Genomic DNA, 17122 nt, shown 5'->3' with positions numbered 1-17122 from the left:
TGTAGTGCAGTGGCTCAATCACAGCTCACTGCAGCCTCGAACTTCTGGGCTCAAGCAATCCTCCTGCCTCAGCCTCCTAGTTGGGTCTACACCACCACACCTGGCTGATTTTTGTATTTTTTGTTGTGATGGGGTCTCACTATGTTGCCCAGGCTGTTCTTGAACTCCTTGGCTCAAGTGATCCTCTGGCCTCAGTCTCCCAAAGCACTGGGATTACAGATGGGAGCTACTGCACCTGGCCTACAGTTAACTTTTTTATAAATAGGAGTACACTCTAAATAAAAAGTATAATAAATGCATAAATCAGTAACATAGTCATTTATTATCGTCCAGTGTTATGTACTGTACATAGTTGTATGTGCTGTGCTTTTGTGCAATTGGTAGCACGATAGGTTTGTTTATACCAGCATCACTACAGACATGTGAGTAATGCATTGCACTGCAACTTAGCAACTACAACATCACTATGTGATAGGAATTTTTCAGCTGTTACAGTCTTAGGGGACCACCATCGCATTTGTGGTCTGTCGTTGACTAAAACATTGTTATGCGGCACGTGACTGTAATTAGCTTCTATGCTACTAGTTAAACCTTTCAAAAAACAAATAACAGCAGGTACCAAAACAGAAATGGAAACAGCTTTCATGTTTGGCTTTGGAAAATATGCTTGTACTTGTAAGTGAAGTAATGAAACCCCAATTAAATTGGCTAGAGTACTGTAAAGCTTTATATAAAATAAGTTATTTTTGGAAAATAAGTTATTTCTTGGAAATAAGTTATTTCTTTGGGAAATGAAGCGCTTCATAACTAACTTTGCCTGATAAACAAGGTTGACTCCTTTGTCCAAACTATTTGGAGTGCTAAGTTTTGGAAACAATTTATAAATTTCTATCTGTCGTAAATAAAGGATACTACCTCTGCTTTTAGGAACAGTGATTGTTGTTGAATACATGACTAATTAATGTTTGGAGTTATTTGTTTCTTTAGTAAGTAACTCCAGACTCCCATATATTTGTAATTCTTTGTAAATTCTATTTAAGGGGTTTTTGTTTGTTATGTACGTGTTCTCCTTTGCTAAAAAGAATGTTGCCCATCACTTCCCTCTACTGCCAACTTGCTATTATTAAATAAGCCCTTTTCCTTTAATTTGTCATCTTTTAATCTGCTTTGGATTGGATTACCAAATCGCTAAACTCATTAAAAGTATGTATAAAATAAGAAAAAAAATCCATAAAAGAGATAGGAGAAATTTCTTCTTTGTCAAGGGCATATACTTTATAACATTGACTTTAATATGTATTTTTGATTGCTCAAACACATTTTTCCCTATTCTCTGTTCTTCAATTATGTTCACGTGAGGTTGCCAGTTAACTGTCAAACGGCACAAAATCTTGACGTAAGTATAGATATTAGAAAATAGAAATTGTAATGAACTCATAGGCTCGTCTATTTCTGGCTCATTTTTTTTCTTAGACTTAATGAACTGAATTTGTTGTATTTAAACATTTTAAAATAGAGCTGAAAATATCTGTACTTGTTATGTCCTTTCCTGGTTTTGGTATTAGGGTAATGCTGGCTTCATAGAATGATTTAGGGAGGATTCCCTCTTTCTCTATCTTTTGGAATAGTTTCAGTAGGATTGGTACCAATTCTTCTTTGAATGTGTGATAGAATTCAGCTGTGAATCCATCTGGTCCTGGACTTGTTTTTTGTTGGCAGTTTTTTTTTTTTTAATTACCGTTTCAGCCTCAATACTTGTTATTGGTCTGTCCAGAGTTTCTGTTTCTTCCTGGTTTAATCTAGGAGAGTTGTCTATTTCCAGGATTTTATCCATCTCCCTTAGGTTTTCTAGTTTATGCACGCAAAGGCGTTCATAGTAGACTTGAATGATCTTTTGTATTTCTGTGGTATTGGTTGTAATATCTCCCAGTTCATTTCTAATTGAGCTTATTTAGATATTCTCTTTTCTTGGTTAATCTCGCTAATGGTCAATCAATTTTGTTTACCTTTTCAAAGAACCAGCTTTTTGTTTTTGTTTTGTTTTGTTTCAATTTCATTTGGTTCTGCTCTGATCTTTGTTATTTCTTTTTTTCTGCTGGGTTTGGGTTTGGTTGGTTCTTGTTTCTCTAGTTCCTTGAGTTGTGAGCATAGATTGTCTGTGTGCTCTTTCAGACTTTTTGATACAGGCATTTAATGCTATGAGTTAATATATATTTAATGTATATTTAATGCTCTTAGAGCTGCTTTTGCTGTATCACAGAGGTTTTTTGTTTGTTTGTTTTTTTGAGATGGAGTCTCACTCTGTTGTCCAGGCTGGAGTGCAGTGGCGCAATCTCGGCTTACCACAACCCCTGCCTCCCTGGTTCAAGCAATTCTCCTGCCTCAACCTCCCGAGTAGCTGGGACTACAGGCATGCACCACCATGCCTGGCTAATTTTTGTAATTTTAGTAGAGATGGGGTTTCACTATGTTGGCCAGGCTGGTCTTGAACTCCTGATCTCGTGATCTGCCAGCCTCAGCCTCCCAAAATGTTGGGATTACAGGCGTGAGCCACTGTGCCCAGCCATATCCCAGAGGTTTTATAGGTTGTGTCACTATTATCATTCAGTTCAAAGAATTTTTAAATTTGTCTTTATTTTGTTGTTGATTCAAAATTATTCAGGAGCATATTATTTAATTTCCATTTATTTATATAGTTTTGAGGGTTACTTTTGGAGTTAATTTCCAGTTTTATTCCATTGTCGTCTGAGAGAGTACTTGATGTAATTTTGATTTTTTTAAAATTTGTTGAGCCTTGTTTTGTGGCCTATCATATGGTCTATCTTGGAGAATGTTCCATGTTTTGATGAAAATAATGTATATTCTGCAGTTGTTGGGTAGAATGTTCTGTAAATATCTGTTAAATCCATTTGTTCTAGGGTATAGTTTAAGTCCATTGTTTCTTTGTTGACTTTCTGTCTTGATGACCTGTCTAGTGCTGTCAGTGGAGTATTGAAGTCCCCCACTATTACTGTGTTGCCATCTATCTCATTTTTTTGGTCTAGTAGTAATTGTTTTGTAAATTTGGGAACTCCAGTGTTAGGTGCATATATATCTAGGATGGTAATATTTTCCTGTTGGACTAGACCATTTATTATTCCATAATGTCCCTCTTTGTCTTTTTTAAGTGTCGTTGCTTTAAAGCCTGATTCGCCCAATATAAGAATAACTACTCCTGCTTGCTTTTGGTTTCCATTTACATGGAATATCTTTTTCCACTCCTTTACCTTAAGTTTATGTGAGTTCTTATGTGTTAGATGAACCTCTTGAACACAGCAGATACTTGGTTGGTGGATTTTTATCCATTCTGCCATTCTGTATCTTTTAAGGGAAGCATTTAGGACCATTTACATTCAAGGTTAGTACTGAAATGTGAGGTACTGCTCTATTCATCGTGCTAGTTGTTGCCTGAATAATTTGGTTTTTTTTCCCCCATTGTGTTACTGTTTTATAGGCCCTGTGAGATTTATGCTTTAAGGAGTTTCTATTTTGGTATATTTTGAGGTTTTGTTTCAAGATTAAGAGCTCCTTTCAGCATTTTTTGTAGTGCTGGCTTGGTAGTGGCAAATTGTTTCAGCATTTGTTTGTCTGAAAAAGACTTTATCTCTCCTTCATTTATGAAGCTTGGTTTTGCTGGATACAGAATTCTTGGCTGATAATTGTTTTGTTTAAGGAGGCTAATATAGGACCCCAATGCCTTCTGGCTTGTAGAGTTTCTGCTGAGAAATCTGCTGTTAATCTGATAGGTTTTCCTTTATAGGTTACCTTGTGCTTTTGCCTCACAGCTCCTAAGATTCTTCTTTTTCTTTTTTTTTTTTTCTTGAGATGGTGTCTGACTCTGTCGCCCAGACTGAAGTGCATGGTGTGATTTTGGCTCACTGCTACCTCCACCTCCTGGGTTCAAGCAATTCTCTGGCCTCAGCCTTCCAAGTAGCTGGGATTACAGGTTCCTGCCACCATGCCCGGCTGATTTTTATATTTTTGGTAGAGATGGGGCTTCACCATGTTGGCCAGACTGGTCTCAAACTCCTTGCCTCAAGTGGTCTGCCCACCTTGGCCTCCTAAAGTGCTGGGATTACAGGAGTGAGCCACTGCACCTGACCTTTAAGATTCTTTCCTCTGTCTTGACTTTAGATAATCTGATGACTGTGTGCCTAGGTGATGATCTTTTTGTGATGTATTTCCTGGGTGTTCTTTGAGCTTCTTGTGTTTGGATGTCTAAATCTCTAGCAAGACCAGGGAAGTTTTTCTTGATTATTCCCTCAAATAAGTTTCCCCAAGTTTTAGATTTCTCTTCTTCCTCAGGAATACCAATTATTCTTATGTTTGGTCATTTAACATAATCTAAAATTTCTTGGAGGCTTTGTTCCAAAAAAGGCTACAGACCAGTATCCCTGATGAACATAGATGCAAAAATTCTCAACAAAATACTAGCTATTTGAATCTAACACCATATCAAAAAGATAATACACCATGATCAAGTAGGTTTCATACCAGGGATGTAGGGTTGGTTTAATATCAAGTCAATAAATGTGATAGACCACAAAAACAGCATTAAAAACAATATGATCATCTCAATAGATGCAGAAAAGGCATTTAACAAAATCCAGCATTCCTTTATGATTAAAACCCTCAGTAAAATTGGCATAGAAGGGACATACCTTAAGGTAATAAAAGCCATCTATGACAAACCCAGAGCTAACATTATACTGAATGGGGAAGAGTTGAAAGCATTCCCCCTGAAAACTGGAACAAGACAAGGATGTTAACTTTCACCACTTCTCTTCAACGTAGTACTGCAAGTCCTATCCAGAGCAATCAGACAAGAGAAAGAAAGGGCATCCAAATCGGTAAAGAGGAAGTCAAACCGTCTCTATTCACTGATGATATGAACGTATACCTAGAAAACCCCTAAGACTCATCCAAAAAGCTCCTAGATCGATAAATGAATTCAGTAAATGTTTTAGTCTGTTTTCATGCTGCTGATAGTCATAGCTGAGACTGGGCAACTTACAAAAGGAAGATTTAATGGACTTACAGTTCCACATGGTTGGGAAGGCCTCACAATCATGGTGGAGGATGAAAGGCACGTCTCACATGGTGGCAGACAAGAGAAGAGAGTTTGTGTAGGGAAACTCCCATTTTTAAAACCATCAGATCTCATGAGACTTATTCACTATCACCAGAAAGAGCTGCCCCCATGATTCAGTTACCTCCCACCAGGTCCCTCCCACAACGTGGGAATTCAAGATGAGATTTGGGTGAGGACACAGCCAAACCATATCAGTAAAGTTTTAGGATACAAAATTCAGGTACACAAATCAGTAGCACTGCTATACACAAACAGTGATGAAGTTGAGAATGAAATCAAGAACTCAACTTCTTTTATAACAGCTGGAAAAAGAATTAAAATACTTAGGAATATACCCAGCCAAGGAGGTGAAAGAACTCTGCAAGGAAAACTACAAAACACTGCTGAAAGAAATCATAGATAACAGAAACAAATAGAAACACATCCCATGCTCAGGGATGGGTAGAATCAGTATTGTGAAAATGACCATATTGCCAAAAGCAATATATAAATTCAATGCAATTCCCATCAAAATACCATCATCTTTCTTCACAGAACTAGAAAAAACAATCCTAAAACTTACATGGAACCAAAAAAGAGCCCCCATAGCCAAAGCAAGACTAAGTAGAAAGAACAAATCTGGAGGCATCACATTACCCGACTTCCAACTGGACTACAAGCCTATAGTTACCAAAACAGCATGGTACTGGTATAAAAACATAGGTCAATGGAACAGAATAGAGAACCCAGAAATAAAGCCAAATACCCACAGCCAACTGATCTTTAGCAAAGGAAACAAAAACATAAAGTGGGGAAAGGACACCGTATTCAGCAAATGGTGCTGGGATAATTGACAAGCCACATGTATAATAATGAAACTGGATCCTCATCTCTCACCTTATACAAAAATCAACTCAAGTGGGATCAAAGACTTATACCTAAGACCTGAAACTATTAAAATTCTAAATGATAACATCAGAAAAATCCTTCTAGACATTGGCCTAGGCAAAGAGTCTGTGACCAAAAACCCAAAAACAAATGCAGCAAAAACAAAAATAGATGAGATTTAATTAAACTAAAAGGCTTCTGCACAGCAAAAGAAGTAATCAGTAGAGTAAACAGACAACCCACAGAGTGGGAGAAAATACTTGCAAACTGTGCATCTGACAAAGGACTAATATCCAGAATCCACAAGGAACTCAGACAAAGCAGTGAGAAAAGAACAAATAATCACATCAAAACATGGGCTAAAGACATGAGTTAGACAATTCTCAAAAGAAGATATACAAATGGCCCAGAAACGTATGGAAAACTGTTCAACATCACTAATTATGAGGAAAATGCAAATCAAACCACAATGCTATACCACCTTACTCCTGCAATAATGGCCATAATAAAAAAATCAAAGAATAATAGATGTTGGTGTAAATGTGGTGAGAAGGGAACACTTTTACACTGCTAGTGGGAATGTAAACTAGTACAACCACTATGGAAAACAATGTGGAGCTTCCTTAAAGAACTAAAAGTAGAACTACCATTTGATCCAGCAATCCCACTACTGGGTATCTACTAGGAGGAAAAGAAGCCACTGTATGAAAAAGACATTTGCACACACATGTTTATAGTAGCACAATTCACAATTGCAAAAATATGGAACCAGCCTAAATGTCCATCAACCAACTAGTGGATAAGGGAAAATGTGACACACACAAACACGCACACACCATGGAATACTACTCAGGAATGAAATAATGGCATTTGCAGCAACCTAGATGGAGTTGGAGACCATTATTCTAAGTGAATAACTCAGGAATGGAAAATCAAACATCGTTATGTTCTCATTTGTAAGTGGGAGCTAAGCTATGGGGATGCAAAGGCATGAGAATGATGTAATGGACTTTGGGGTTTCCAGGGGAAGGATGGGAATGGGGTGAATGATAAAAGACTACAGATTGGGTACAGTGTACACTACTCACATGATAGGTGCACCAAAATCTTAGAAATCACCACTAAAGAATGTATTCATGTAACCAAACACCACCTGTTCCCCAAAAATTATTGTAATAAAAATAAAATTATTTACTTTATTATGAATATTTCTGATCTTTAAAAACATTTTTTTACTGAGATGAAATTCACATAATGTACAACTAACCTTTTTTTTTTTTTTTTTTTTTTTTTTTTGAGATCATCTCGCTCTATTGCCCAGGCTGAAGGGCAGTGGTGTGATCCTGGCTCACTGCAACCTCTGCCTCCCAGGTTCAAGCGATTCTCCTGCCTCAGCCTCCGGAGTAGCTGAGATTACAGGTGCACACCACCATGCCTAGCTAAGTTTTTTGTATTTTTAGTAGAAATGGGGTTTCACCATGTTGGTCAGGCTGGTCTTGAACTCCTGACCTCATGATCTGCCTGCCTCAGCCTCCCAAAGTGCTGGGATTATAGATGTGAGCCACCGTGCCTGGCCACAACTAACCACTTTAAAGTAAACAACTCATTGGCATTTAGTACGATTACAATACTGTCTATTTCTAAAACATTTTCATCACCCCCAAAGGAAATTCTGTATCCCATAGGCAGTCATTCTCTATTCTTCCCTGCCCCTAGCAACCACCAATTTACTGTCTGTCTCTGTGGATTTATATATTCTAGTCTTGAACTCCTGGCCTCAAGCAATTCTCCCACCTTGGCCTTCCAGTGCCTTGGGATTACAGGTATGAGCCACCACACCTTGGGATTTATTCAGATGTTTCATATAAACAGAATTATACAATATTTGACCTTTTGTCTTCTGGCTGCTTTTGCTTAGCATAATATTTTTGAATGTCATCCACATTGTGGCATGAACCAGTACATCATTGTGTTTTATGGCTGAATGTTCATTGTATGTATACACCACAAACTTGTTTATCCATTCATCTATTGATGGACATTTGGCTTGTTTCCACCTTTTGGTTATTGCAGATAGTCCTGCTGTGCATATGCATATACATGTGTTTCTTGAGCACCTGTTTTTCAGTTCTTTTGGGTATGTACCTAGAAGTGGAATTGCTGGATCATATGGTGATTCTATATTTAGTGTTTTGAGGATCCACCAAACTTTTCCACAGCAGCTGAACCATTTTCTGCTTCTACTAGCAATGTATAAGGGTTCCAGTTTCTCCTCACCAATGTTTACTTCCTATTTTTTAAATTATAGCCATCCTAGTTGGTGTGAAGTGGTATCTCATTATGGTTCTGAGTTGCATTTCCCTAATGACTAACAATGTTAAGCATCTTTTCATGTGCTTGTTAGCCATTCATATCTTTTTTCAAAAAGTGTGTAAGTCCTTTGCCCATTTTAATATTGGGTTGTTTCTTTCTGTATGTAAGAGTCATTTTATACGTTTCAAGTAGTAGACCTTTATCAGATATATAATTTGCAAATATTTTCTCCTTTTCTTCTGTTCTGTAGGTTTTTTTTTTACTTTCTTCATTTATTATTATTATTTTTTGAGACAGGGTCTTGCTCTGTTGCCCAGGTTGAAGTGCAGTGGCACAATCATGGCTCACTGCAGCCTTGATCTGTTGGGGTTAAAGTGATCCTTCCACCTCAGCCACTTGAATAGCTGGGACTACAGGTGTGTGCCACTGTACTCAGCTAATTTTATTTTTTGTAGAGGCAAAGTTTCACTATGTTGTCCACGATTGTCTCAAACTTCTGAGCTCAAGCAGTCCTCCTGCCTCAGCCTCCCAAAATGTTAGGTTTACAGCTATAAGTGACCATGCCTAGCCTGATATGGTTTTTTTTGCATGTAAGTTCTAAATTTTGTGCGTGTGTATGTGTGTTTTTAAGAGGGTCTTGCTCTGTCGCCCAGGCTGGAATGCAGTGGTACAATTATAGCTTACTGAAGCCTTGGTCTCCTGGGCCCAAGTGAGCCTCCCACTTTAGCCTCTTGAGTAGCTGGGACTACAGGTGTGTGCCACCACACCCAGCTAACTTTAAAATTTTTTGTAAAGACAGGGTCTTGCTTTGTTGCCCAGGCTGGTCTTGAACTCTTGGCCTCAAGTTTCTCCCACTTTGGCCTCCTAAAGTGCTAGGATTACAGGCATCAGCCACTGTGCCTGGCAAGTTTTGTAATTTTGAAATAAGTTTATCTATTTTTTTCTTTGTTGCTCATGTTTTTGGTGTTATACTCAAGCATTTATTCCCAAATTCAAGATCACAGAGATTTACCCTAATGTTTTCTTCTAAACTATTTTACGGGTCGCTTCTTATATTTACTTAATTTTTATATATGGTATGGAGTAGGGATCCAACTTCATTCTTTCGTATGTGGATCTTCAGTTGCCCCAGCACCATTTGCTGAAGAGAGTATTCTTTTCCCCACTAACTGGTCTTGGCACCCTTATTTAAAATCAGTTGACTGTAGATGCATAGGTTCATTTCTAGACTCTCTATTCTATTTGTCTATATGTCTCTCCTTATGCCAGTACCACACAGTTTGGATTACTATACTCTTGTAATAAGTTTTGAAACAAGGAAGTGTGAGTCCTCCAATTTTGTTATTCTTTTTCAGTATTGTTTTGGCTATTTGGAGCCCCTTGCAGGCCCATGTGAATTTGAGGATTGGCTTTTTATCTCTATGAAAAAGCATATTGGGATTGTGATAGGTATTGCATTTGAATTTGAAGATTACTTTGGGTAGTACTGCACCTTAACAATATTAAGTATTTCAGTCTATGAACATGGGATATCTTTCTATTTATTTAGATTTTCCTTAATTTCTTTTAGCACTGTTTAGTTGTGTTCAGTATATGCCTTTTCACCTTCTTGGTCAAATTTATTCCTACATATTTTGTTCTTTTGGATATTACTGTAAATGGAATTGTTTTCTTTTTTTGACATGTACATTGCTGGTATATAGCAGCTGATTTTTGCATGTTGATCTTGTACCCTGCAAACTTCACTGAATGTATTACCTCGAGTAGGGCAGGGGTGTGTGTGTGTGTGTGTGTGTGTGTGTGTGTGTGTGTGTCACGGTTGGGGGGTGGATTTGGAGGATTTTCTTTGTCTAGGATTATGTCATCTGTACATAGATAGTTTTACTACTTCTTTCCACTTTAAATGTCTTTTATTTTTCTTGCCTAATTGCTCTGGTTAGAACCTTCAGTACAATGTCAAATGGCAGTGGTGAACATGGGCATCCTTGTCTTGTTACTGATCTTAGGGGGAAAGCTTTCAGTCTTTCTCCATGGAGTATGATATTAGCTGTGGGTTTTTCCTAAATGCTCATTGTCATGTTAAGAAGCTCTTCTCTATTCTTCTATTCCTAGTTTTCTAGGTGTTTTTTATCATTAAGGATGTTGGATTTTGTCAAATGCTTTTCCTGCATCAATTGAGATGATCATGTGTGTTTTTTTTCTTTTGTCTTAGTAATATGGTATAATGATTTTGGGGGGTATGTTTTACCACCCTTGCAGTCCTGGGATGAATCCTACTTAGTCATGGTGTATAATCCTTTTAGTGTGCTGTTAGACTCAGTTTTTTAATATTTGCTTAGGATTTTTGCATCTATATTTACAAGGGATGTCGGTCTATAGTTTTCTTGTGGTTATCTTTTGTCTGGCTTTGGTATTGGGGTAATGCTGGCCTATAGATTGAGTTAGAAAGTATTCTCTCCTTTTCCTTGATTTTCGTGCTCACTCCCCACCTTGTTTGTTTTTTGAATGGATTTTAAATTATTTTGGAAAGTTAATTATTCAGATTCTTAAGGTTATTATTCAAGACGAGCCAAAAAAAAAAATGGTCTTACCCAGGAAAAATCTTTGCCTGATGAGAATTTAATCACAATACTTTGTTGCTCAAGCTCCACCTACCTATTTTAGAAACAGATGATATTGTAGTCATAAAATCTCATGGAATCAGATGTTGTGACTTGATTATGTATGTGTAGAAATTCTAAGAGAGCATTCAATCCAGGATTATAATGTTACAATAATTTAGTTACCCATATGTATATAAACATTTCTAGCAGCAATTTTAGAAATATAATACCTCCTTGGAGGTATTTAACAAGATATAAATTTGATTTTTGGCTAGCTTTCACTACTTCTTAAGATAGAACTTGAACATTGGGGCAGGTCCCAAAGCAAATACTTTAACTACAATAGTTACGCACGAGAAAGTCATGTAAACAATCTATCCTTGACAAGCTACAAAGTCAATATTCAGATGTCCCAAATCTTAGACTCCTTTATTTAAAAGAGCTAACCAACAAAGAATTTACTAAGCCCACCTTTCTTTTTTTCTTTTTTTTTTTTTTTTGAGACAGTCTTGCTCTGTCGCCCAGGCTGGAGTGCAGTGGTACAGTGGCATGCTCTCAGCTCACTTCCACCTCCTGGGTTCAAGCAATTCTCTTGTCTCAGCCTCCTGAGTAGCTGGGATTACAGGCACCCACCATCATACCCGGCTAATTTTTTGTATTTTTAGTAGAGATGGAGTTTCACCATGTTGGCCAGGCCAGTCTCGAACTCCTGACCTCAAGTGATCCACTGGCCTCAGCCTCCCAAAGTGCTGGGATTACAGGCACAATCCACCACGCCCGGCCTAAGCCCACCATTCTTTTCAGCTGTTTGTACCTTTAGATAAAGTTCTCGCTACTCTCTTCTATGGTCTATAATTTGTGAAAAACTAATTATGATGCAATTTCAACAAATGTATTTGTTCAGTTCTATTTGATTTTCTAATTCATGTTGCATGAGTAATAGATGCACTGATAAAGTTAGCATATTTTAACAGTTTTCCTTTCAGAATGTGCTTTTTAACAGAATGCTAGCAGATTGTTCAGCTGTTATTTTTTTAAATTATATTACAGTCCATTCACAAAAGGTACAACCACAAATTATACAATAAACCAGAAATTTTATAATTCTGTTTTTGTATTTGGAACAGTCTACAGTCCAACTGTATTTAAAGGGGAAGTTAATGTATTCAAAGGGTATTTTTAAGACCTTTTCATTTTGGTTAAAAATGATGACATACAGCCAGGCGTGGTGGCTCACGCCTGTAATCTCAGCACTTTGGGAGGCCGAGGCGGGCAGATCATGAAGTCAGGAGTTCAAGACCAGCCTGGCCAACATGGTGAAACCCCGTTTCTACTAAAAAATGCAAAAAAAAAAAAAAAAAGTTGGGCGTGGTGGCGGGTGCCTGTAATCCTAGCTACTTGGGAGGCTGAGGCAGGAGAAGCGCTTGAAACTGGAAGGCAGAGGTTGCAGTGAGCTGAGATCACACCATTGCACTCTAGCCTGGGCAACAAGAGTGAAACTCCGTCTCAAAAAAAAAAATGACCTGCTGTTAACTTACCAAAACAGTTTTAGATCCTAAAGGATTCCTAATCTGGCATTATAGACCGAATGTGGTACATTCAGTCCAAAACTTGTGTTCTAAGATGGAACAGAAAACAAACATAGTAACAGAAATGTATTTTGTTGTAATCAAATACATGTAGGTAATTTTAAAAGTCTTTTGAGGGGAGGAGTCAGTAATTGATTTTGTTGGTGGAGAGAATGGGTGAAACTAAATGATATTTTTAAAAATATAGTGGTTTTCAGGCTGGCACAGTGGCACACTCCTGTAATCCCAGCACTTTGGGAAGCTGAGACGGGAAGATCACTTGAAGCCAGTTTAAGATCAGCCTGGGCAACATAGTGAGACCCTCTCTTGACCAAAAAAAATATATATATATAGCCTGGTGTGGTGGCATGCACCTGTTGTCTAGCTACTTAGGAGGTTGGGGCAGAAGGATCACTTGAGCCTGGGAGTTTGAAGTTGCAGTGAGCCGTGATCATGTCAGTACACTCCCGCCTGAGTGATAGAGTGCAACTCTCTCTCAAAAAATAAAATATAATGGTTTTCTAATAGGAAAATGTACTTAGGTAGTTTTCCCGTATCCAATCCTCATGACAGGATTGTGAGGGAGATATTACTTTATTTTACACTTGAGAAAACCAAATTAGATTGATTGACTTTACCATTTCACTCCTAGTAAATAACTGTTGGAAATCAAACTCAGAACTTTGGACTTAAGCATCAAGCTCTTTCTATTAAACCAGATTTTTGTTTTCTATAAGTTGCAGTTTAAAAAAAGAAAAGAACAGTACTTGTTTTCTATAAATGTATGATACATATTCTATGCTTACAGATAATAAGCAATTCATTTTAAAATGTCATAACCTCAGAATATAATTAACAATGGGACTTGGCCTTTCAGATATATTACAATGTGCTTGGATTTTCAAAAATTTTATTTGCATGCAGCTTGTCAAGGATTTTTTTTTTTTTTAAGGCAGAGTCTCACTTTGTTACCCAGGCTGGAGTGCAGTGGTGCAGTCTTAGCTGACTGCAGCCTCTGTCTACCTCCTGGGTTCAAGTGATCAGCCTGCCAAGTAGATGAGACTACAGGCACACGCTACCACATCTGGCTAATTTTTTGTATTTTTTACACAGACAGTGTTTCGCCATGTTGCCCAGATTGGTCTCAAACTCCTGGGCTCAAGAAATCTTCCCACTTCAGCTTCCTAAAATGCTGGCATTCCAGGTGTGTGCCACCACACCCAGCCAAAGATAAGGTTTTATATAACTTTCTCTTGCATAACTTTGGAGGAGCAGTGTAGTGTAGTGCAAAGTTATCAAACTTTAAAGGACCCAAGAAATACCTAGGAGATTAATAGCTTTTTAGGGCCCAAGAAACCCTCTAGGTACTTCTGGTAGAGGTAGTCCAGGGACAATACCTGGGGGAAACACTGGCTTTGAGGTTTTACACAGATAAAAATACCTACTTCATAAATTAGTGATGGTGATTTAATCTATGGTATCTCTACAGCTCTTGGAATACAACCTGGCACATAGGAAATGTTCAAAATATTCCATTCTTGTGTGATGACTTGGGTGGCAACTAAGAAGCAAGAGAATATTCCTTCTTTACATTCAACAAAATTTATTGAATTCCAGCAGTATTCTAGGGATTTGTGGATATAGGGGAAAATGGGCACATTCTTCACTCTTGTTGAATTTATTTGATGAACTCATTTTAAAGGTATAGTTCTTACCTTGTTAAAAAATAATAAAATGACTATTGAGCACATGTTTGCATAATCTTTTCCCTTGCAAATTAAAGTTTTATTTTTTACTTGAATGAGGATTGCAGGTCAAAGAAATGTTCTATTATTTCTCAGTTTTCTTGTTGCTTTAAATCTATACTATCCAATACAGTAGCCACTAGATACTTGCAGCTATTTAAGTCAATTAAAATTGTATAATATTAAAAATACAGCTCCTTGGTGGCACTACCACATTTCAAGTACTCAGTAGCCACATGTGGCTAGTGGCTGCTTTATTGGACAGTGCAGATGTAGATAATTTCCATCATCACACTAAGTTCTGTTGGGACAGTGTTATTCTGGAGTGTGCAACTACAAAGCAGTGATTTTCCAATTGTCTTAATCTGTAGATTGATTTTGAGGCAAGTATTAGCAGTGGCTTGAGGCTGTCATTTCAGCTCATAAGTGCATTAATATCCTTTCAGGTTGACCAGGCCCAGGGCTAGTATTGATTTATCTTAACAGTTTCATTTCACAGCAAGTGAGATCTAAATGCTAAGACATCTGGGCATTTTCTTTAAACTTCTGAGTAATACACTAACGTTATTTTACTGCATTAGTCATAGCTTTTCTCATGCACTCTGTGTGTGTGTGTGTGTGTGTATGTGTGTGTGTGTAGGGAGAGAGAGAATTCACCTTCACAGCATTATAATTGTTTTAAATGTGCATGTAATGAAATTTTGGGGACAAAGGAATAAAGAAGAGTTGGAATTGCATCTGAATACTAGAAATGGTACTTACATGAAATAATTTCTTTTATAGAAACCAAAACTAAGAGTAGTGAAAAGTTGGTTTAACACTGCTTACTCAGCATTCTACTGGGTAGAACCCCAGTTATGATTATTTAAAAATATTAATTATGAGGCTGGGTGCGGTGGCTCATGCCTATAATCCTAGCACTTTGGGAGGCCGAGGTGGGCGGATCAACTGAGGTCAGGAGTTCGAGACCAGCCTGACCAACATGGTAAAACCCTGTCCCTACTAAAAATACAAAAAATTAGCTGGGTGTGGTGGTGCATGCTATAATCTTGGCTACTCTGGAGGCTGAGGCAGGAGAATGACTTGAACCTGGGAAGCGGAGGTTGCAGTGAGCTGAGATTGCGCCACTGCACTGTAGCCTGGGCAACAGAGTGAGAATCTATCTCAAAAAAAAAAAAAAAAAAAAAAAAAAAAAAAAAATATATATATATATATATATATATATATACACACACACACATACACACACACGTGTATGTATATATACACTTATACACATATATGTGTATATATACGTATATATACACATATATGTGTGTGTGTGTGCGTATGTGTGTGTGTATATATATATATATATATTTTTTTTTTTTTTTTTTTTTTTTTTTTTTGAGGTAGATTCTCACTCTGTTGCCCAGGCTCACTCTGTTGCCCAGAAGAACAACAGCAAAAACTGAAGGAAAAAAAGGAGGTAAGACCTATCTGTAACTAGCTACTCATATTCAGGAAACAGAGGCAAAAACTCAATTGCTCTTGCATATCATTTACTGAACTCTGAACCAAAAAAATACATTCACGACCTAGACACTGGAATGTAGTGGGGGCTACTCAATTTTATATGCAGATTTTAACAACAACAAAAATACAGAAGAATTTATCCTTGGTTTTTCAATTACTAAAACACTAAATTTATCATATATATATACAGGTGTATATATACACATACACGTATATATAGTATATATACACATATACACATATATATACCATATATATAGTGTATATACACTATATATACACATACACACATAAATACACATGTACACATATATATATACCATTATATATAGTGTATATACACTAGTATATACACACGTGTATATATAGTATATATACACATACACACATATATACACATACGCACACATATGTATATATACATATGTGTGTGTATGTGTATATATACATATATATGATAAATTTAGTGTTTTAGTAATTGAAAAACCAAGGATAAATTCTTCTGTATTTTTGTTGTTGTTAAAATCTGCATATAAAATTGAGTAGCCGCCACTACATTCCAGTGTCTAGGTCGTGAATGTATTTTTTTGGTTCAGAGTTCAGTAAATGATATGCAAGAGCAATTGAGTTTTTGCCTCTGTTTCCTGAATATGAGTAGCTAGTTACAGATAGGTCTTACCTCCTTTTTTTCCTTCAGTTTTTGCTGTTGTTCTTCTCTGAGAAGAAAGGCAATAAGAGACTGCTGTCATTTGGTCACAGGTCAGGGATTAGTGCGACTGAAGTCATTGAAATCCTTTTGTATGTTATTGCCTCCTTCAATGACCTTCTGTCTTTCCAGGTCACTTACTTCAGCCTCTGGTACTACAACAAGCAAAATCAGCGCCGGTGGGTAGATTTGGAAAAACCTTTGAAGAAGCAGCTGGATAAATATGCATTGGAACCTACCGTCTATTTTGGAGTGGTGTTTTATGTGCCTTCAGTTTCTCAGCTGCAGCAGGAGATTACCAGGTGAGAAATTACATGCCGTTTGTTTTTAGGAAATAGTCTAGTGAGATGTAAAAAGTGAAACTAAGGTTGAAGTCAGAAGATAAGTTTGAAACTTTGCCCTCTCGCCCCACATTTTTAGCCACGGTGTTACAAAGAGATTCTCATATGTGGCATGTCAGAGTGTTTTACTGCATGTTGGGTAACTTATGGGTTCACTAGGCACAAAGGAATAATTAAAGGGAAAAATGATGGATTTACCCTCTCTGTGAACTCTTCTTGTAGTGATGTTACCTTTAATGTTTTTGTTGTTTTGTTTCTGATCTTTTGTAACAAGGAAAGGAGAGAAGAGATTTTAGAAAATTAGTTACAAAATCTGTCTTCATTCCTCAAGGA

At 37.2% G+C, this 17122-nt stretch overlaps 1 protein-coding gene across 5 annotated transcripts in view; it reads left to right on the top strand.

Annotated features, from left to right (window-relative positions):
• PTPN21 (protein tyrosine phosphatase non-receptor type 21) overlaps positions 1-17122 on the top strand; it is an 89230-nt gene that overhangs the window by 21166 nt on the left and 50942 nt on the right. For 3 of the 5 annotated variants that reach the window (NM_007039.4, XM_005267287.4, XM_011536367.4), the window contains exon 3: positions 16581-16750. In NM_007039.4, coding sequence (NP_008970.2) covers positions 16581-16750 — 170 coding nt within the window. Of the gene's footprint in view, positions 1-7802; positions 7822-16580; positions 16751-17122 lie in introns of those variants that run through there. The other 2 variants (XM_011536368.3, XM_017020939.2) reach the window with 2 other exon arrangements.

The sequence above is a fragment of the Homo sapiens genome, chromosome 14, assembly GCF_000001405.40.
Source record: "Homo sapiens chromosome 14, GRCh38.p14 Primary Assembly".
Lineage (NCBI taxonomy): Eukaryota > Metazoa > Chordata > Mammalia > Primates > Hominidae > Homo > Homo sapiens.
Note: the sequence above shows the minus strand (reverse complement) of the source record. Positions and strands in the feature narration are given on the sequence as shown.